This window comes from Homo sapiens, chromosome 19 (assembly GCF_000001405.40).
Source record: "Homo sapiens chromosome 19, GRCh38.p14 Primary Assembly".
Taxonomy (NCBI): Eukaryota; Metazoa; Chordata; class Mammalia; order Primates; family Hominidae; genus Homo; species Homo sapiens.
This window is the reverse complement of record NC_000019.10, coordinates 35,347,434-35,368,364: the sequence shown is the minus strand read 5'-3', so window position 1 is coordinate 35,368,364 and position 20,931 is coordinate 35,347,434. Positions and strand designations below refer to the sequence as shown.

General features: G+C 51.8%; 2 protein-coding genes across 4 annotated transcripts, besides 7 other annotated features; both read right to left on the bottom strand.

Annotated features, from left to right (window-relative positions):
- Positions 1-7,875: 7,875 nt before the first annotated feature.
- FFAR3 (free fatty acid receptor 3) lies at positions 7,876-10,214 on the bottom strand. Of its 2 annotated transcripts, none has more exons than XM_011526858.3 (2): positions 9,840-10,214; positions 7,876-9,485 (listed from the first exon to the last, which is right to left on the bottom strand). In XM_011526858.3, exons 1-2 carry the CDS (start codon positions 9,937-9,939, stop codon positions 8,434-8,436), a joined length of 1,152 nt encoding a protein of 383 aa, XP_011525160.1. In that variant the 5' UTR covers positions 9,940-10,214; the 3' UTR covers positions 7,876-8,433. The 2 variants fall into 2 exon arrangements, with proteins under 2 accessions (XP_011525160.1, NP_005295.1); NM_005304.5 differs by having other exon boundaries at positions 9,716-9,905.
- Positions 8,057-8,584: an enhancer, noted in NCBI's record as "H3K4me1 hESC enhancer chr19:35850683-35851210 (GRCh37/hg19 assembly coordinates)". NCBI's record gives its function as "activates a minimal SCP1, AML or CMV promoter by ChIP-STARR-seq in primed H9 embryonic stem cells {active_cell/tissue: H9 hESC(primed)}" and the evidence as "EXISTENCE:reporter gene assay evidence [ECO:0000049][PMID:30033119]".
- Positions 13,237-13,336: a silencer, noted in NCBI's record as "silent region_10525". NCBI's record gives its function as "represses an Ori minimal core promoter by ATAC-STARR-seq in GM12878 lymphoblastoid cells {active_cell/tissue: GM12878}" and the evidence as "EXISTENCE:reporter gene assay evidence [ECO:0000049][PMID:35858748]".
- FFAR1 (free fatty acid receptor 1) lies at positions 14,501-20,463 on the bottom strand. 2 transcript variants are annotated; one of them, NM_005303.3, is made up of 2 exons: positions 17,527-20,463; positions 14,501-17,160 (listed from the first exon to the last, which is right to left on the bottom strand). In NM_005303.3, the coding sequence occupies exon 2, from the start codon at positions 16,811-16,813 to the stop codon at positions 15,911-15,913; it is 903 nt and encodes a 300-aa protein (NP_005294.1). In that variant the 5' UTR covers positions 16,814-17,160; positions 17,527-20,463; the 3' UTR covers positions 14,501-15,910. The 2 variants fall into 2 exon arrangements, with proteins under 2 accessions (NP_005294.1, XP_047294654.1); XM_047438698.1 differs by having other exon boundaries at positions 14,799-16,923.
- Positions 15,313-16,179: an enhancer, noted in NCBI's record as "H3K27ac-H3K4me1 hESC enhancer chr19:35843089-35843955 (GRCh37/hg19 assembly coordinates)". NCBI's record gives its function as "activates a minimal SCP1, AML or CMV promoter by ChIP-STARR-seq in naive H9 embryonic stem cells {active_cell/tissue: H9 hESC(naive)}" and the evidence as "EXISTENCE:reporter gene assay evidence [ECO:0000049][PMID:30033119]".
- Positions 17,969-18,108: an enhancer, noted in NCBI's record as "active region_14477". NCBI's record gives its function as "activates an Ori minimal core promoter by ATAC-STARR-seq in GM12878 lymphoblastoid cells {active_cell/tissue: GM12878}" and the evidence as "EXISTENCE:reporter gene assay evidence [ECO:0000049][PMID:35858748]".
- Positions 18,149-18,198: an enhancer, noted in NCBI's record as "active region_14476". NCBI's record gives its function as "activates an Ori minimal core promoter by ATAC-STARR-seq in GM12878 lymphoblastoid cells {active_cell/tissue: GM12878}" and the evidence as "EXISTENCE:reporter gene assay evidence [ECO:0000049][PMID:35858748]".
- Positions 19,133-19,333: a silencer, noted in NCBI's record as "peak3448 fragment used in MPRA reporter construct". NCBI's record gives its function as "represses an SCP1 promoter by STARR-seq MPRAs in K562 erythroleukemia cells {active_cell/tissue: K562}" and the evidence as "EXISTENCE:reporter gene assay evidence [ECO:0000049][PMID:32103011]".
- Positions 20,612-20,691: an enhancer, noted in NCBI's record as "active region_14475". NCBI's record gives its function as "activates an Ori minimal core promoter by ATAC-STARR-seq in GM12878 lymphoblastoid cells {active_cell/tissue: GM12878}" and the evidence as "EXISTENCE:reporter gene assay evidence [ECO:0000049][PMID:35858748]".

Here is a 20,931-nt window from a genome sequence, read left to right as displayed (position 1 = left end):
CCTTAATGACTTACCCCAAAGTCATTCAGGAAATAGTTGTTTAGTTTCCATGTATTTGTGTGATTTTGAGAATTCTATTTTTATTCCACTGTGGTCTGAGAAGAAGGTTGGTATAATTTTCATTTCTTTAAATTTATGGAGATTTGCTTCATGACTAAGCATTGGGTCAATCTTAGAGTATCTTCTGTGTGCAGATGAGAAGAACGTATATTTTGTGGTTGTTGGGTAGAGTATTCTGTAGATGTCTATTAGGTCCATTTGATCATGTGTCCAATTTAAGTCCAGAATTTCTTTGTTAGTTTTCTGCCTCAATGATCTGTCTAATGCTGTCAATGGGCTGTTGAAGAACCCCACTATTATTGTGTGGCTGTCCATCTCTTTTCTTAGGTATCGTAGTAATTGTTTTATAAATCTAGGTACTCCAGCGTTGGGTGTTTATATATATAGGATGTTAAATCTTCTTGTTTAATCGAACCCTTTATCATTAGGAAGTGCCCTTATTTGTGCTTTTTTACTGTTGTTGGTTTAAAGTCTGTTTTATCTCATACAACAATAGCAACCCTTTGTTTTCCATTTGCATGAGAGATCTTTCTCCAACCCTTTGAGGGTTTGGGTATCATTATATGTGAGATGGGTCTCTTTAAGACAGCAGAAGGTTGGGTCTCATATTTTTATCCAATTTTCCACACTATGTCTTTTAAGTGGAGTGTATAGGCCATTTACATTCAAGGTTAATATGTGAGGTTTTGTCCCTGTTGTGATTTATCTTCGTGTTGTTAGTTAATTACTTTGTAGTCTTGGTTGGGTAGTTGCTTTATAGGGTCTGTGGGCTTTGTACTTATGTGTGCTTTTGTGGTAGCAAGTATCATTCTTTTGTTTTCATGCTTACAGCTTCTTTGAGCATTTCTTGTTGGACCAGTCTGGTGGTGATGAATTCTCTTACCATTTGATTGTCTAGGAAAGATTTTATTTCTCCTTTGTGACACTTAGTTTGGTAGGATATGAAATTCTTGGCTGGCATTTTTTCTTTAAGAAGCCTAGAAGGCTGGGCGTGGTGGCTCACACCTGTAATCCCAGTACTTTGGGAGGCTGAGGTGGGTGGATCACAAGGTCAGGAGTTTGAGACCAGCCTGGCCAATATGGTGAAACCCCGTCTCTACTAAAAATACAAAAAAATTAGCCGGGCATGGTGGCACATGCCTGTAATCCCAGCTACTTGGGAGGCTGAGGCAGGAGAATTGCATGAACCCGGGAGGCAGAGTTTGCCATGAGCCAAGATCGCACCACTGCACTCCAGCCTGGGCAACAGAGTAAGACTCCATCAAAAAAAAGAAGCCAAAAATAGGCACCCAATCTCTTCTAAATTGTAAGACTTCTGCTAAGAAATCCACTGTTATTCTGAGTGGACTTCCTTTATAGGTAATTTGGCTCTTTTTTCTAGCTTCCTTAAAGATATTTTTCTTTCATGCAGTCTCATGACTATGTGCCTTGGGGATGGTCATTTTGTATAGTACCTCTCAGGCAGTCCCTGAATTTCTTATATCTGCATGTTGACCTCTTTAGCAAGATTAGGGACATTTTCCTGAATTATACGTTAAAATGCATTTTCCAAGTTGCTTATTTTTTCTTCTTCTCTGTCAGGAATGCCAGTGGGTCATAGTTTGGTCATTTCCCATAATCCTATACTTCTCAAAGCCTTTGTTCATTTCTTAAAATTATTTTTCTTTATTTTTGTGTGACTAGGTTAATTTAAAAAATTCATTCTGCCTCTGAAATTCTTCTACTTGGTCTAGTCTATTGTTGAGGTGTCCAACAGTATTTTGAAATTCCTGTAGTAAATTTTTCAATTCCAGAAGTTCTGCTTGATTCTTTTTGTGTTTTGGTTCTTTCTCTCTATATATAGTTTTTTTCCCCCCCTATATATATATCTTTCACATCCTGGCTCATTTTTACGGCTTCTTAGTATTGCATTTCAACTTTCTCTTGGGTCTTGCTGAGTTTCCTTGCCACTCACATTCTGAATTCTAGATCTGTCATTTTCAGCATTTCAATTTGGTCAGGATACATTTCTAGGGAGCTAGTGAGATCCTTTGGAGGTGACAAAACATTCTGGCTTTTTGTACTGCCAGAGTCCTGTGCTGATTCCTTCTCATCTGAGAGGGCTGATGCTTCTTTTTCAAAATTTGCTTTCATTTGGGTGGGGCTTTTTAATTTTTTTATTCTTTTTTTCTGTTGAAGGTATGACTATGGTGTGTGTTGTGTATGATCAACTGGCTTCATTTCTGGATGCTTTCGGAGGGCCAAGGCTCTGTACAAGTTCTTGGTTGCAGATAGGTTCATGCGGTTGCTTTCTCAGATGCCGCATGTTGTAGCAATATATTTTTGTTTCGTGGTGCAATTTAAGCTGAAGTCTAGTAGATGGCACTTAAGAAGAGCTGGCAGGTAGGCCAGGGCCCAGTGGTCACACCTTCCTTGACAGGAGTGGCAGGAAGAGATCGTGATGGGGTGCTCTGAAGTGACACAGAAAGGGGTAAGGGGTGCACCAGCTCCTTGTCCTAAGCCAACAGAAGCATGATCTACTTCCCTACACCCCTGTTACATGGCACATGACCTTCTGGTTATAAAGTCTTCATCCTTTGGTTCCCAGCCAAAGTGCTGTTGTGGACTGTAGATCCGCCTCTCTGCCAGCTACAATTAAGATAGGCATCATGGCAGAGTCTCTACCCCAAGTCCAGAGCATGCAACTCTGTGAACTGTCCTACATTGCTGAGACCCTGCTGCTCCTGTAGTGAGGGAGAGTTGGGTGCCGCCCTTTGTGAAATCCCATATAAGAGCTGTGTCAAGTACTTTGAAGGAGGCCTGGCATGTGATGGTGTGTGTTCAGCACCTGTCAGCTGCCAGCATCCAGGTCACAGGTGTGGGCATGTCTCTGGGGTGACAGTAATAATAATAATGGTGGCGGTGGTGATGATAACAACTGCTTTTCGGTAGGCATATAATCCACAGATCCAGAGATACTCCACTTCTCAAGGCATCCCCTATTGTCATGAAATCCTTTGTGCCTCACAGTGGGGAAGTGACTTGCTCCAGGTGATACAGCTTATTAAATATCACCACCCGGGTTCAAACCCAAGTGCTCTCCAGTGCAGAGGTAATTTATTTCTTCATTCAAATACTTACGGAGCACAATGATGCCATTTCACATCCACTAGAATGGCTATAAGCAAAAGGCAGACAATAACAAGTGATGGTGAGGATGTGGAGAAACAGGGGCCTCTCATTGCTGCTGAGAATGTCAGATGGTACAGCTGCTTTGCAAAGCAGGTGGCAGTTTCTTAAAAAGTTAAACATCAATTTAACATGTGATCCAATAATTCCACCATAGGTATTTATTTAAAATAAGTGAAAACATTTGTCTAAGCAAAGACTCAGTCCTCAATGTTTGTAGCAGCATACATCATAAGAACCAAAAGTAATTCTCAGCAAACTAACACAGGAACAGAAAACCAAACACTGCATGTTCTCACTCATAAGCAGGAGCTGAACAATGAGAACACATGGACACAAGGAGGAGAACATCACACACCGCAGCCTGTCGGGGCATGGGCGGCAAGGGGAGGGGTAGCATTAGTACAAATACCTAATGCGTGTGGGGCTTAAAACCTAGATGACGGGTTGATGGGTGCAGCAAACCACCATGGCACATGTATACCTATGTAGCAAACCTGCATGTTCTGCACATGTATCCCAGAACTTAAAGTATAAAAAAAAAAAAGAAGAAGAAAAGAAAGAAAAAGAAAAAGAACTAAAAGTGGAAACCTCACCTGGAGGCCCTTCTGCTAGTTAGTGGATAAAAATAGTGGCACATCCATACACTGGAATTCTATTTGGCAATAAAAAGGAATGAGCTGCCTATACCTACTGCGTCAGAGCTCCCCAACCCCGGGCTGCAGACCCGTGCAGGTGAGTGGTCTGTTAGGAACCCAGCCACACAGCAGGAGGTGAGCAGTGGGCAGACAAGCTGGCATGACCGCCTGAGCTCCTGTCAGATCAGCGGCAGCATTAGATTCCCACAGGAGCGCAAACCCTATTGTGAACCGCACATGCGAGGGATCTAGGTTGCGCGCTCCTTATGGCAATCTAAATAATGTCTGACAATCTGAGGTGGAACAGTTTCATCCCAAAACCATCCCCCCACTCCCCTGAGGTCTATGGAAAAATAGTTTTCCACAAAACCAGTCCCTGGTGCCAAAAAGTTTGGGGACTGCTGTACTATATCACGAGTGAATCTTTAAAATATTACGCTAAGTGAAACAAGCCAGGTGGTCCCATAGAGGGCTAAGGAGAGCTGCGGGGGCAGGTCCATGGGGCCACCGTCCTGGCCTGCACGGCTCCTGTGTACAACTGGCTCACCGTCCTCAGATCTTGAGGCCCCAGAGAGGAGGGGCTCCTGGGATCACTCATGGGTTCCAGCCCTGCCTGGAGGATTACAATTCGCCTGGTGGGATCACCGAGGAAACGGAGGCCCACAGAGGAATGCAGCAGCCAGGGAGCAGCGGAGCCTGGATGAGAAGCTGTGGCCCCCAGTCCTGTGCTTTCTCTCCACATCATCTCTTAAAATGAGGGGAGCACCTGCAGGGTCACAGGAGATAGGACTTCACGCGTGGGTCCCAGAGGAAGAAAGCTTCTTGATTTCTGAGACTCTGTGGGGAGGAGGGGTGGAGAGAATTCAGAACAGGGCTGGGCCCACTGCCTGAGTCTTCTCTAGGAATGGGAGTTTGACTCCTGAGCCCACTGCCTTCCCTGGTTCCCTGGCAAGGCAGGAGCTGACCCCCCGACACCCACAGTGGAAAGCCGGCGGGGCAGCAGGGAGGAGACGGGTGTGAATAAGGTGAGGGTGTCGCCAGGGACAGGAAAAGGGGGTCCCCCAGGGAGAGCCCAAGGGTCAGCTGGGCCCCATCCATGTCACGGTTGAGCTTAGCAGTTCTCAGGGGCCACCTGGGCAGGGGTGGTCTGGGGGTCTGGGGAACAGTCAGGTGAAGAGAGGAGCCACAGAGAGAGGGACCCACCTCCTGGTGCTGCCAGATGTCCCTGAGGCTCAGCAGTCCCCTCAGCGGGCTGATGGAGGATGCCCAGGATGGGCAGTGAGCCAGAAGGGGACGGGGGGAGTGAGCTGGAATGACAGGGCTATTAGCCTGAGGTTCTAGCAGCTTGGGTGAGAAGCTGATGGGGCATCCTGGCTGGAGCTGATGCGGCACTGGAGGAGGTGAGGGTCTTGGAAGATGCAGGAACACAGAAGGGCCAGGGAGGAATCAGCGTCCTGTCTGGGTAGGGGCCGAGTGTGTAGCCAGTGCCTCTCAAGAGCAGGGCTTGGGGGCTCGGCCACAACCCAGCGCTATTCCCTCCCCAGCCCTCCTGCCTGTTCACACCTGCACTGGGGCCAGGTCTTCTCCACCCTCAATGTACCCCTGGGCAGGCCCCGGGCCTTGCTGGCTCACCCCTGACAACACAGGGTGCCCTGTGACTGCAGCCGTGAAACCATCTCCAAGTGGCAGTGGGTGTGTGGGGTAAGGAGTGATCACACCCGGGTGCGGTTCTGCACAGGCTGTGGGCTTATTTTAGTTTTTGCGAGGAGAGGCCCCTCTGTTCTGCCTCTCCTTCCCCTCTAGCTCCGCAATGGTGGTTTCTGACCTTTCCAGGGCTGGCAGAAGGATGGGGAGGAGGAAGACAAGGGACGGGAGCAACCTCCGCTGGCTGGCACTGGAGGACTCAGGCAGTGGCCTCAACTCCAAGGACTCCTCCTGGGGAGTGTGGTGGGGACACTGGGGGTCCCTCCCTGAGGCACAGGGGATGTGGCCCTGGCCGGCTGCGCAGCTTCCTTCTCTCAACCCTGGAAATCCAGCCAGCTGTTCAGCTCCCCGGTGGGGCCACTTGAGCCTCCCAGGAGGACCTAAGGAAGATTTCTAACCTCTCTGGATGCTCTCTCAGGTGTGCCCATGCCTGCCAGTGAGAAGCCAGCTCTGCTCTGTGAATCTGTCTCTGTCTCTCACTGTGCCGGTGTCTGTCTGTCTGTCTGTCTGTCTCTGTTTCCTGCCTCAGAATGACAACACAGCCTCTCCACATCTGTTTTCTCAGGCGTGTGTGGGTCATCTGACCACTCTGCCCCTTCCAGGTTCCAGGTCCCCCATCATCAGCCTCTCTCTGTGTGGCCTCCTGGCAGCTCCGGTCACCAGGTTTCGGGGGGGACAACGAGGGGGTCTCAGCCTATCACCACCTCCCTCCAAAGATGCCATCTCCCTCCTTTTTGCGTGTGATCGCTTCACCCATGGGAGATTCACACCTACTTGCTCTGCCCGATGGAGAGGGTGCCAGCTGCTGCACCCCCCACAGTCTTCTCCCACCTCCTCTCTCTGCCTTTCTCCCACCCCACCTAGATGGCACCAAGCGGCAGCCCCAGATGCATCTCCCGTTCTATGACAGCCCCGTTCCCTGGGCTTCTGAGATGTATGGAAAATGCTCCAACATCCTCCTCACCCCCACTCCCACGATCACCCACACCCTGATGGCTTTTCATCTTCCCCACCCCTGGGCTTTTGCTTATACAGACTGGGCTGGGCTGGGAGATAGCTGGGGACAGCAAAGCCCATGAAGCTGCCTCTTATTCCCTCTTATAAACCTGGGGGAGGAGGGAGACTCCAGCTCTTCATGGCTCTCTTTCGACTGTGAGGTTTTCAGTTTTTCTGTTCTCTGCCTTGGGGTGGCGGTGCCCATTCTGAAGTTGCAGGATTCCATGGCACCTTTGTCCCCTTTCTGAGCCATGAACACCCCTACCTGCATCAACTTCTTTGCAGCCACCAGGGCTGAGTGCCCTGGGGATGGACAGGTGAGCCGTGGGACAGAGAGACAGCTCATGGTTTCAACTCTCCACAGAGTCCCTCTCCTTCCACCTGAAATCCACTTCCCCACACACAGCCAGTCTTCATTCTCCCGGCACACTTAACCCCAGGGAGGAAGCAGATATTTAAAGACCTTAGTGTCGAACTCCCCGAAGTTCTGAGCCCAGCCATCTGCATGCAATAGGTGTTCAACAAATGCTTCTGAAATACTGCTGACAGCATGCAAACAGGGGCTGGCGAGTCTCAGGTGGCCTTGCTTGGGGAGGAGGTCCTGACCAGCTATTTCTCATGGGCCACCACTCAGGGAACATGAAAACTTCCTGAATGGCCATATTTTGATGAATAGAGCTCTGAGGAACATCTCTCTGACTTTGCAGAAACCTGAAGTCCATTGTGCTGACTAATTATCTTTTTTTCTTTTTTTCCAAGAGGGCTTTTTTACTGGGAAAAGGTTGAACCCACACAAATAGTCAATACGCTTTGCATTTAGTTCTGTTTCTTATCATGGCCTGTTTATATTTGTCCTGCTCAGACAGACTTATCTGACTTGGGACATTTGACTGGGCCAGGTGACCACAGGTGACACACAGATGGAGAACAGCAGAGTGGCTTAGGGGCATGGGTGTCAGAGTCAACTGACACCAGCTTCTGGTCCCACTTCAATCGCCCACCAGCTATGGGATCTCAGGTAGGAGGTGTCACCTCTCTGGGCCACTCCTTCATCTGAAACTGGGGATAATGCTGGTACCTCTCACAGGGCTATTGAGAGATAGAAGGAGATGATGTGTCAGGCCAAGTCCTTTAGACAGGGCAGCTGTTATTTTCATCCCTGCAAGCCAGATCCTCTCCCAGCATCCAGGCATCCTGGTGTTTGGCCCTTTTCCTCCAGAGTCTGGTGTTTTCTCCTTCCATCCACCAGTCCCACCCGGCCCAAGCACACCACCAGAACAAAACAGGAGAAGAAGGAAACACTGTTCTCTTTTGCTTGCTTCCACATTTATTTGGGTAATTTTTCTTCTGTCATTGTTCATAAATGTCTCTGATGATCCACATTTATTGAGCAATGGGAACTTTCTGGAAAAGGCGCTGTGGGAGCAGAATGCGGCCTCATCCCTGGAGCCCTGTCTCCCCCGCTCCTGACTCGCTGGCTGGGAGCAGCTCTGAGGATGGGGTTCTCCCCTCTCCTGCCCCTGCCACTCACTGGGCAGCCCCCTCAGACCCTGGGCACTGCTCTTAGCTCCTCTGCCACCCTCAAGAAAACACAGGAGCTGCCTGCTGCTATGAGGACCTCATTGTTCTCCAGAGCAGCCTCTCACCCTGACCCCTTCCCAGAGCCCAATCCATAGTGTGTGGGTGGATGGGGATGGAGGTGAGATCGAGAGCTGGGCTTTAGCGCGCATACCCTTAGGGAGGCTAGATGTCTACTCTGCCCCCAAGCCCCATCGGGCCCCAGCTCGCCACTCCAAGTCCCTCCTGGCGTGAGCGAGGAAGCGCCCTGAGGATGACATGCCAGCTACACCCTCCTCCCCCGGAGGACCTAGCTTTCAGCACAGGCCACCTGGCCACCAGTTCCACAGCCCTGTGAGTGTTCACTGGTCTTTCTTTCAGCTGGTCGGTCCGCTCTCTGCTCCTCCCCTCCCTTCTGCTCCTTCAGCTCCATGCTGCTCTCCTGCTGCCACTGGCCCCAGAGCCCACACAACCTCCTCAGCAGCTCATGAAAGTCGGCTTGGAACCCGGAGGAGGAGAAGTAGTAGACAAAGGGGTCGACACAGGAGTTCAGGGTGCTGAGAAGCGTCACGTAGATCCTCCACGCCGGGCTTTCACCGCAGATATAGCCCACGACATGGGACACGTTGTAGGGCCCAAAGCAGACAAGGAAGTTGAGCAGCGTGGCCGCCAACAGCCCCGCCACCCTCCTCTGCCGGCGGTGGCTGCCCCCTCTGCCGAGGATCCACACCAGGCGGCTGTAGCAGTAGCTGGTGATGATCAGCGGGACCACAAAGAGGACCACAGCCATCTCCAGCCGCACGGGCAGGAGGATGGCTAGCTGGTCCTTCCGGAACTCCAGGTAGCAGGTCCCATTGGTGCCCTGGCTGTGGGAGATGTCCCCTGAGAATTCTATGACGTAGACCACGCTGCAGTGAGCAGAGGCCAACAGCCAGCAGGCCACACTCACCAGACCTGCCTGCCCCAGCCTCGGCCGGGTCTTGTACCACAGTGGGTGGGCCACACTCAGGAAGCGTTCAATGCTCACAGCTGCCAGGAAGAGGGCGGTGAGATAGATGGTGGTGAAGAAGATGAATCCAGAGAGTGGGCAGAGGATGAAGGGCAGGGGCCAGTGCATGCCATTGGCTGCCTCCACCATGCGGAAAGGCAGGAACAGCAGCAGGAGCAGGTCCGAGGCGGTCAGGTTGAGCAGGAGCACGTCCACGGCCACCGGGCGGCGCTGCAGCTTGCCCACGAAGACCACCAGGGCCAGCAGGTTGAGGGGGAGCCCCACCAGGAAAGTGAGAAGGTACACCGAGAAGACGAACCAGTGATTGCCGGAGAAGTAGGACTGGTCGGGGCCTGTATCCATGGTGGTGGCCACTGGTGAGAGAGAGTAACATGGAGTTGGTAGTGGGGGCCCTAACGGCCTCTGGCCAGCAGCATCTCCCCTAAAAGGGCACGAGGTCACTACGCCCACCCCTCTTGTCTCTGGGTGCCTTCCAGGCGGGGTCAGCCTGCCTGTCTTCCTGAGCATGCCCTGTCCCCTGTCCCTTCCCCAGCAGAGAAGCACCAAGGTGCTCCTCCACCCAGCCCCTCGGGCCCAGGCTCACCTGCTTCTTTGAGACCCCAAATGCTCTGCCGCACAGCACCTTGCTGTCTCTCCAGACCTAGTGCAGTTGGCTATTTATCCGGCAGAACTGATAAAGACCTGGCCGTGCCCATGACGTCACTCACTGTTGAGCAGTGGCACATAGATGCCTTGAGCTCCGTTGCCAGGGCTGGTCAGCATGCTAAAAGGGGAACAAATTCCACAACTGCGTGCCTCCCTCCTCATGCAGTCTCAGCTGGGATGCTCTAAGCAGGCCCCAGCCGACGTCTTCCTCTCCCCTTCTTCACTTGAATTTTGTCTGCTTCTCTAGAATGGCATTTATCCAATTTGCCTTGTAAGGGCAGGAAGTGTGATGCAATGACAGAGAGCGAGCTCCGTGAGGTCTGTTTCTTCCTGACTTTGTGATTTGGGGGAAATGACTTAAATTCTCCATGTTTCTGCTTTCTCCCCTGCAGAACAGAGCTCATCATAATACCCATCTCATAGATCAACGCATTAACACATGCAAATTAAAACAATATGTAGGTCGATTAAAAGATTACTAATACATGTTGAGTGGTTTGACGGAAGCCTGGCGTGTGGTCGTGAGCAGGCAGCGGATGCCAGCTGCTATTTTCCCTGTCACTGGTGCAGGATTATCTCTGGGGTGACAATGTAATAATAATAACAATAATAATGGTGGTGGCGATGATGACAGCAGCTGCCTTTTCATGGGCACATAATCCATAGCAGACACTGCTTCTAGGGCAACGCTTTTATGTCATAAAATCCTTGTCCTTCACCGTAGGGAAGTGACTTGCTCCAGGTGATACAGCTTGTGAAATGTCACCACTAGGGTTCAAACCCAAGTGCTGTCCAGTTTCACAGGTGATCTATTAGTTCATTCAAACAATCACAGGGCACAATGAGATATGATTTCACATCCACTAGAATGGCCACAAGCAAAAAGTCAGACAATGCCTATGGTCGGCGAGAATGTAGAGAGATAGGGGCCTCATTCACTGCTGGTGAGAATAATGGGAGGTGGTGTCCCTGCTTTGGAAAGCAGGTGGCAGTTGCTTAAAAAGTTAAACATAAATTCACCATGCGATCCAACAATTCCACCGTAGGTATTTACTTAAGAGAAGTGGAAACTCAGGTCTACTTAAAGACTCAGTCCTAAATGTTCACAGCAGTGTTGGTCATAGTCACCAACAGTGGAAATGTTACCTGGCAGCCCATCAGCTGGTGAGTGAATAAAAAAGTGGCACATCCATATACTGGAATTCTATTTGGCAAAGAAAAGGAATGAGCTACCCATACACACTACAGCCTTATGTTGAGTGAAACAAGCCAGACGTAAAAGACCATGTACATATATTGTCAGATTTCATTTATTTATATGATATGTCCAGAATAGGCAAAGTTATAGAGTCAGAAAGTAGACTCGTGGTTGTCTGGGGGATGGAGGTAGAAATGAAGATTAAGTTGTTTTTTTTTTTTTTTTTTTTTTTTTGAGACAGGGTCTTGTTGTCGCCCAGGCTGGAGTGCAATGGTGCAATCTTGGCTCACTGCAAACTCTGCCTCCCGGGTTCAAGAAATTCTCATGCCTCAGCTTCCTAAGTAGCTAGGATTACAGGTGCCCGCCACCACGCCTGGCTAATTTTTGTATGTTTAGTAGAGATGAGGTTTCGCCATGTTGGCCAGGCTGGTCTCGAACTACTGACCTCAGGTGATCCGTCCACCCCAGCCTCCCAAAATGCTGAGATTATAGGCGTGAGCCACCCCGCCTGGCCCAAGATTAAGTTTAAATGAACATGAAGTAAAATCCTTTACTAGGGTCATGAAAATGTTCTAAAACTAGCTGATGGTAATGGACTCACACCTCAGTAAATTTACTAAAAATCATTGAATTGTACACTTAACATTGGTGAATTTGATGATATGTACATAATATCTCAATTAAGCTGTTAAAAGTGCAGCAGTAGGCTGGGTACGGTGGCTCAGGTCCGTAATTTTAGCACTTTGGCAGGCTGAGGTGGGAGGATTGCTTGAGCACAGGTTGTTTGAGACTAGCCTGGGCAACATGAGGAGACCCTATGTCCACAGGGGAAAAAAAAAAAAAAAAGAGAGAAAGAAAAAAGAAATTAGCTGGGTTTAGTGGCATGTGCCTCTGGTCCCAGCTACTTGGGAAGCTGAAATGGAAGAATCGCTTGAGCCCAGGAATTCAAGGCTGCAGTGAGCCATGACTGTGTCACTGCACTCCATCCTGAGCAACAGAGTGAGACTGTGTCTAAAAAAAAAAAAAAAAAAAAAAAACAACACGCAGTTGTGAACAAAAAGTTTTTGCTGTCATGCTGTTTACATTACATTTGGTGGTGAGGGCTTGGGGGATGGAGTAGGGGAAGGATCATGAAGACGTGGATACTGAAGAGGCAAAGAGCCACTGGAGGGAACATTGGGGCAGGGGAGTCACGGGTGCACAGACTTGGCCTGCTGGGGGAGCTGATAGGAGGTTTGGGTCTCACAGGAGTGAGAGGCGCCTGGGGTGGATCACACTGAGTCTCCTGGGCCCCAGGGAGGCACTGGATTTGCCCTAAGTGGGGGGAGGCAGGAGGAACTGGGAGAAGCAGCCCAGTACCCAGCAGGGGCTATGGAGCAGGAGTCAAAGAGAGTGGGCCCTGGCACCCTGTGATGCGGGAGGAGGCACTGGGGCTCCCTGGGGTGGAGTTTGGGTTTTTACTGAAATTCCCTGGTGTTGTCACTGCACAAGTGCCGGGCTTGTTTCTGGCTTCCAAAAGAAGTTACTTAATTTCTCTGGCCTGTTTCCATATTGATAAAACAGACATAGAACTTTCTTTGGAAGGCTAGTAGAGGCATTCATTCATTCATTGAGCGAACATTTACTGAGCACCTACTGCGTGCCACTCTGTCTTCTGGGCGCTGGGGATATATCATCAATTACAAGAAAAATCCTTGCATGCGTAGACATTTCAGCCTGAACAGAGCTCATTTGTAGAAATTGGTGCGTGCACCCCAGCTGGTGGCTGCCATTTGTTGTGCTCCAATACATCATCATGTGCATGGCATTGCTGTAATTTAGAGCAGGTGCCCAGGTGTCTGTCTCCTTCACAGCCACAGCCACTCCCTTCTGACCTCCCTCTCATGGATGTGGGATGCTATCCTTTGCGAAATGGACCACAAATACAGGGTTAACCCCCACACCCCCAGGTTTCCCAAATGTCCCCTGGCTCTTGGGGGTTCTGCTTGGAAGGATCACATCCTGCTTTTACCCCTTCCTTGCTGTAGGGCCTTAGGCAAGTTTCTTCATCCCATTCCAGGATCGTAGCTACCTGGTGCAGCACCTTTGTGCAAATTAGGTGCTCCCTTTCCAGAGGAGCCCATCCCGCACCAAGTGCTGCCTAAGGAGTGGCTGGTGTATTTCTTCAAATTAGAACACAATACTCCTTCCCTTGATGCAAGCAAGGCAGGCATGTGGCTTGTTGAGCAAAGCACAGGCTAGAATTTAGTCAGTGTTTGCTCCTCTGCCCAGTACCTTCGTGTAGTGAACACCCGCTCATCCGTACGGCAGTGGCAAGGCTAAACCACAGCGTTGTGTGAAGCTGAAGTGAGACAACACTCACTGTAGACACTCAGCGTGACACCCATCACGTATTACAGACTATATAGTTGACCTTTGAATAGCACAGGTTTGAACTGTGCAGGTCCACTTACTTGTGGATTTTTTTCAATAAATACATTGGAAACATTTTCAGAGATTTGCAACAATTTGAAAAAACTTACAGAGGAACTACAAGCCTAGAAATATATTTTTAAAATTAAGCAAAAGTTAAGTATGCCACGAATACAAAAAATATATGTAGGTACTAGTCTATTTACTGCCACTAGTCTATTTACTGCCATACATACTAGTCTATGTATGCCAAAATGGATACAAAGCTTTTTTTTTTTTTTTTTTTGAGACAGGATCTGGCTCTATTACCCAGGCTGGAGTGCAATGACATGATCTCGGCTCACTGCAACCTCTGCGTCCCAGGCTGAAACCATCCTTCCACCTCAGCCTCCCAAGTACCTGGGACTACAGGCACACGCCACCATGCCCAGCTAAATTTTTTGTATTTTTGGTAAAGACAGGGTTTCTCCATGTTGCCCAGGCTGGGCAAATCTCTTATAGAAAGTTAAAATTGGCAGGGTACCGTGGTTCACGCCTGTAATCCCAGCACTTTGGGAGGCCGAAGCGGGTGGGTCAACTGAGGTCAGGGGTTCGAGACAGGCCTGGCCAACATGGTGAAACCCCATCTCTACTTACAATACAAAAAATTAGCCAGGTGTGGTGGTAGGTGCCTGTAATCCCAGCCACTTGGGAGGCTGAGGCAGGAGAATTGCTTGAACCTGGGAGGCGGAGGTTGCAGTGAGCCAAGATCACACCATTGCACTCCAGCCTGGGAGACAGAGCAAGACTCTGTCTAAAAACAAAACAAAACAAAAAAGTTAAAATTTATCAAAAATATATGCACGCAAACACAAACTCTATTTGATGCCATTTGAAGTCAAGAGAAATGCAAGCAAACATAAAGATGTGCAGTATTAAAGTCATAAGTGCATATTTACTGTAGACATACTGTACTCCTATAATAATTTCGTAGCCACCTCCTGTGCTTTCTCCGTGAGCTCAACTGTTGAGTATCTGCTTCCAACACCACGTGAAGCTAATCACCTCCTGGTGAGCAGTTCTCGCCAGTACACTGTGTACAGAAGTAAAAAGTGATCTTTCATAGTCATTGCATATGTTTCACCATGTTTAATGCAATACCGTAAACTTTGAATAACCCCCTTGGCCCCAAATGCGGGGCCACTAGTGATGCCAGAGCTGCTTCCAAGAAGCAAAGAAAAGTCATGACATTATAAAAAAGGGTTGAACTGCTTGATATCTACCACAGATTGAGATCTGCAGCCGCGGTTACTGCCGCTTGAGACAGACAACTTCTCTTATAAACAGACAACAAAACTTACAGTATTGATAAATACAGCACAGTGCTGTGAAGGTATTTTCTCTTTCTAATAATGTTTTCAGTAACATGTACTTTTCTCTAGCTTACTTTATTGTAAGAATACAGCACATAATATATATAACATACAAAATATGTCTTTTTTCTTTTTTTTCCAGAGACAGGATCTTGCTCTGTCACCCAGGCTGGAGTGCAGTGGTGCGATCATGGCATTGCAGCCTCAATCCTGGGCTCAAGGGATCCTCCCACCTCAGACCCCTGAGTAGCTGGGACTACAGGCACGCACCACCACGCCCAGCTAATTATTTTTATTTTTATTATTTGTAGAGGTGGGGGTCTCACTATCTTGCCCAGGCTGCTCTTGAACTCCTGGCTTCGAGCAGTCTTCCCGCCTCGGCCTCCTAAAGTGCTGGGATTACAGGCATAAGCCACTGTGCCTGGCTTCAAATATGTCTTACTCAATTGTTTATATACTGGGTAAAGCTTTTGGTCAACAGTAGGCTATTAGTAGTTGAACTTTGGGGGAGTCAAAGTCATGCACAGATTTTCCACTGCGTGGGGTTCGGCACCCCATCCCCACGTTGTTCAAGAGTCAACTCCGTAGCCTTTGCCCATCACTGCGGGACCTTGCATTTTCCCTCCCCGGCTGAAGCATCTTTTCCTGCCAGCCTCCGTTCCAAGCTCCAAGGCTGCCCCCTTGCGAGTTTCACATGGTATAACAGCGTCATTATCCTGCCTCCTGCCTCCTCTCCTACTCGGAAATCAAATGTTCTCTCCTGGGAACTGATTTCAGAGTAGCTGTCCTCAAGTGCATCACCGGAGTGGCAGTTCCTGTGGGTCAGAAACAGACTGCCTCCTCCTTCCCGTAAGTACAAGGCCTCTGCTCGCGGCCCACGGAAGACAGGCAGGTGAGGACGTGCAGAGGGGAGAGAAAGATAGGCGAGGAAGGGACAAACTTCCTCGACACGTGCAGGGGCAAACTTACCTCCCCCTGCCACCGTGCTCTGGCTCGGTGCTCCTCTCTTGACTGGGGTGCTGCCCTCAGCAGGCGCCGCTCTCTGCTTGAGTGGCTCCAGGGAGGCCTCCGGGCCAGGCTGCCCTGCAGTTCCTCCGAAGCAGCCCCCCGCAGGGGCCTGGAGAAGCAGCCGGGCCCTCCTGCCCCATGCTCCTTCCCCCGAGCAGTGGCGTTACTTCTGGGACTTGCCCCCTTGCGTTCTTGCCGCACACACTGTCTTCAGGCCAGGACCCCTTCCCAAGTAACCGGTCACCAGCGGATTAAGCACCACACTCCAGGCACCCGTGATGAGCCCCAGCTTCCGCCAGGAGCCTCCTAGATTGGGGTACAGGAAGCTGGCCACGTTGGAGGCGTTGTAGGGTCCTACGCAGAGCAGCAGCGTGAGGAGGGCCCCGCCGGCCACCCAGGCGGCCCGCAGCTTCCGCCTGTGCGTCAGGCCGGAGCGGGCCAGTGCCCGGAGGCAGCCCACGTAGCAGAAGGCTGTGATGGCCAAGGGCAGAAAAAAGAGCAGGAGAGAGAGGCTGAAGCGGGCCGGGCCGGCAGAGGCCGGGTCCCAGGCCTCCAGGCAGACCGGAGAGCCGTTGACCGGTGTGTTGATGCCCAGGGAGGTGTTGCTGTGGTCCAGCCAGCCTCCTGGAGCCTCCAACCCAAAGACCAGACCCAGGTGACACAGGACGAGGGCCCAGATGGCCGCGCACACCCCCCAGGAATAGCACGGCCTCCGGAAGGCTTGGTAGCCCAAGGGGAAGGCTGCTCCCAGGTAGCGGCCTGCACTCAGGGCGGCCAGGAAGCCCCCGCCGGCATAGAGTGGGAAGAAGTGGGCCACCGCGAAGACGGGGCACAGCGAGGCCGGCAGAGGCCAGGCCCCGGAGGCTAGCGCCTCCACCGCCTTCAGGGGCAGAGAGACTGTCAGCAGCAGGTCGGAGCAGCCCAGGTTCAGGGCGTAGACCAGGCTAGGGGTGAGACGGAGCCGGGCGTGGGCCGTCGCGCCTCGGATGGCCAGGACGTTGAGCGGGAAGCCCAGCGCAAAGGCGGCCACATAGAGGCCGAAGGAGAGCTGCGGGGGCAGGTCCATGGGGCCGCCGTCCTGGCCTGCACGGCTCCTGTGTGCAACCTGGCTCCCTGTCCTCAGATCTTGGGGCCCCGGAGAGGAGGGGCTCCTGGGATCACTCGCGGGTTCCAGCCCTGTGTGGAGAATTACAATTCACCTGGTGGGATCAGGGAGGAAACGAGGCCCACAGAGAAAGGCAGCAGTCAGGGAGCAGCGGAGCCTGGATGAGAAGCCAGGACCTGTGGCCCCCAGTCCTGTGCTTTCTCTCCACCATGTCACCTCTTAAAACCAGGGAAGCTCCTGCAGCGTCACAGGAGATAGGATGTGGCGCACAGGTCCCAGAGGAAGAAAGCTTCTCGATTTCTGAGACTCTGTGGGGAGGAGGGGTGGAGAGAATTCAGAACAGGGCTGGGCCCACAGCCTGAGCCTTCCCTGGGAATGGGAGTTTGACTCCTGAGCCCACTGCCCTCCCTGGTTCCCTGGCAAGGCAGGAGCTGCCCCCACCCCCCACCCACATTGGAAAGCCGGCGGGGCAGCAGGGAGGAGAAGGGTGTGGATAAGGTGAGGGTGTGGCCAGGGACAGGAAAAGGGGGTCCCCCAGGGAGAGCCCAAGGGTCAGCCAGGCCCCATCCATGTCACGGTTGAGCTTAGCAGTTCTCAGGGGCCACCTGGGCAGGGGGTCTGGGGGTCTGGGGAACAGTCAGGTGAAGAGAGGAGCCACAGAGAGAGGGACCCACCTCCTGGTGCTGCCAGATGTCTCTGAGGCTCAGCAGTCCCCTCAGCGGGCTGATGGAGGATGCCCGGGATGGGCAGTGAGCCGGAAGGGGAGGAGGGCGGGTGACAGGGCCATTAGCCTGAGGTTCTAGCAGCTTGGGTGAGCAGCTAATGGGGCATCCCGGCTGGAGGTGAGGCCACGCCAGAGGAGGTGAGGGGCTGGGAAGATGCAGGAACACAGAGGGGCCAGGGAGGAATTGGGGTCCTGTCTGGGTAGGGGCCGAGTGTGTAGCCAGTGCCTCTCAAGAGCAGGGCTTGGGGGCTCGGCCACAACCCAGCGCTATTCCCTCCCCAGCCCTCCTGCCTGTTCACACCTGCGCTGGGGCCAGGTCTTCTCCACCCTTGATGCACCCCTGGGCAGGTCCCGGGCCTCACTGGCTCACCCCTGACAACACAGGGTGCCCTGTGACTGCAGCCATGAAGCCATCTCCAAGTGGCAGTGGGTGTGTGGGGTAAGGAGTGATCACACCCGGGTGCGGTTCTGCACAGGCTGTGGGCTTGTTTTAGTTTTTGCGAGGAGGGCCCCTCTGTTCTCCCTCTGCTTCCGCACTAGCCCCATGGTGGTGGCTTCCGACCTTCCCAGGGCTGGAGGAAGGAGCGGGAGGAGGAAGGCAAGGGGCGGGGGCAGCCTCTGCTGACCAGCACTGGAGGGCCCAGGTTGTGGCCCCCACTCTGCCTGTCAAGGGGTGGCACAGATGTCCAAGCCGACTCCCCCCAGGGTGCATGGCTGGGGACACTGGGGGACACTCCCCAAGGCACAGGGAATGTGGCACCGGCCGGCTGCGTAGCTTCCTTCTCTCAGCCCTGGAAGTCCTCCCAGCCTTTCATGTTTCCCACTGGGGTCACCTGAGCCTCCCAGGAGGACCTAAGGAAGATTTCTAACCTCTCTGGATGCTCTCTCAGGTGTGCCCACGCCTGCTGGTGAGAAGCCAGCTCTGCTCTGTGATTCTGTCTCTGTCTCTCAATGTGCCCGTGTCTTTCTGTCTGTCTGTCAGTCTGTCTCTATTTCCTGCCTCAGAATGACAACACAGCTCTCCACATCAGTTTTCTCAGGCGTGTATGGGTCACCTGACCACTCTGCCCCTTCCGAATTCCAGGTCCCCCATCATAAACCTCTCTCTGTGTGGCCTCCTGGCAGCTCTGGTCACCAGGCTTCAGGGGGGACAGCAAGGGGGTCTCAGCCTATCACTAACTCCCTCAAAGACACCATCTCACTGCTTTTCATACCTCGGAGCCACTAAATTGGTCCATGCTCGCCTTTTTCTCGAGAGCAGCACCTGGGGTGCAGCGCCCGCTGTGAGCGGAGAACTGGCCTCCTACTGTTCAGTGTGTTGTTGGGAACTGAGAAATGGACAGAATGGAGGAAGAATCCACAGCAGTGTGGTTTCCCCTCCTGCAGCAAGAGCGAAGCCCTGGGGAGCCATTGGGTTTTCCAGATCTTCTCTGCTTTGGCCCCACCCACCTGGCGTCTGGATCTTTGCCCAAGGTCACCTTCTCCGAGGGCCTTCCCGGGTGCCTCAGCCACACTCATCCCTCCTGTGAATCTCACTTTTGTTGTCTTTCTTCAGTGCGACATCGTCTTGGCTGGCTCCTGAGCTAGAATGCCGGCCTCCTGAGGGCAAAGGCTTTGGTCTGCTTTGTCTACTACACGTTGCACAGCAGGTGTTTGGGAACCTAAATGCACGATCCATTGTCTGGACCCTGGGAGGACTGTGAGAGCTGGGGTTGTGGAGGGCGGCCTGCGTCTGGAGTCCTGGCCCCCTAGCTTCCTGGCCACCTGCTCTTCACCTGCTCTTCACGCCTCAGCAATGTCTATTGATGGCCATATCTCATGGTCAATCAGCCATGTAGTAGGTTTATGTCAGCAGCTGTGCTGAGGGACAGGGTGGGAAGGGGAAGATGCTCGATGGTTGCCAGGGAGCTTAAGCCAGGCCCTTCAGGCTTAGGACTGCCTCAGCTCCCTCCAGGGTATCTTGCCTTAAAAACCCTTGGCGGCTCTCGACTAGAGATCCCCAAGGTTGGTCCTACGCCTTATCTTTTTGGTGTCCTAACAACTGGCTCTGTACTGGGTGCATTTCCAGGTGCTCAGTATCTGTGTGCAGAATGAATGAAGAAAGAGTTGAATGACACCAGACCCCATTTTGGGCACAGACACCCCAACACCCTCCTGTCTCATTTAAACAGTTTTTGTTGTTGTTGTTTTGAGGCGGAGTCTCACTCTGTTGCATAGGCTGGAGTGCAGTGGCGTGATCTCGGCTCACCGCTACCTCCGCCTCCCAGGTTCAAGCGACTCTCCTGCCTCAGCCTCCCAAGTAGCTGAGATTACAGGTGTGAATCACCACGCTCAGCTAATTTTTGTATTTTTGGTAGAGACAGGATTTTACCATGTTGGCTAGGCTGGTCTTGAACTCCTGACCTCAGGTGATCTGCCCACCTTGGCCTCCCAGAGTGCTGTGATTACAGGCGTGATCCACCACGCCTGGGCTTTAAACAGTTCTTAAAGCCTCACCTTCCTCCAGAAAAGTTAATGGTGCTCACAAGAATCAAACCAGGGACAAAGTGGATTGATGGGGCGATCAAGGCCTCCCTGAACCATAATTCCTAGAGTTACCGTCCGGGTACTGAGCAGAGATGGGAGGGAAAGGAAGGTGGGAGAGGAAGGTGGCAGTTTGGGGACACCTGCCACGTGCCAGGAGCCAATCTCCCTGATGATCAGATAATTACACCCCTGCCCTCTAAGGAGAATGGGCTTTAGCCCCTTTGCAGAAGCAGGTGAATGGGTGGAGAAAGATCAAACCCGAGAAGCGGAGAGGGGAGCTGGGGCACCTAACTGGAAAGTCTGAATCAGTGAACAGAATTAGAGAACGGGTGCAGAGGACCTCGAATGACAGAAAAGCTGTGAGGTTTCTCAGGGTGGCTGGTCTTCAAGACTTTCTCTGGCAGCTATGGGTTGTGCAAGAATTGGGTAGCGTCACTTTTGGGAAGAGCTGTTTTGAATCGGCTTCCCCTTTTCACATTCTTCGAAAAATGCAAATAAAGGATGGAGGTTGGTTTTCTGGGGGACTTTCGGCTTCTGTGCTGGGTCTCAATGTGGCTCCAGCATATAGAAGACGATGCCTCACTTCCTATCGTGGGCCACCTGCGTGGTAGGCAGTGGCCTTTCCCTCTCCACTTTACAGATGGAGAAGCCGAGACTCAGGCAAGCTGGCGAGCCCTGCCAAGATCACCGGGCTAGTTAAGCCGAAGAATCAAGATTCAAGTTCTCATGTTTGTCTGTCTGCAAAGCCAGTATGCTTTTCCTAACAAGACACCAGACTCTCTAATCTGCTGGTTTGATCAGTAAACCACTGTGACTCCATTTCCTTCCC

Coding starts and splice junctions, on each gene's coding strand:
- FFAR3 (XM_011526858.3), bottom strand. CDS start 9,939: ATGAGGAGGGAGGCACGCAGTTGTGGAATTTGTTCCCCTTTTAGCATG. Junction 9,486..9,839: donor CTATGTGCCACTGCTCAACA/GTGAGTGACGTC, acceptor CTCTCTCACCAG/TGGCCACCACCATGGATACA.
- FFAR1 (NM_005303.3), bottom strand. CDS start 16,813: ATGGACCTGCCCCCGCAGCTCTCCTTCGGCCTCTATGTGGCCGCCTTT.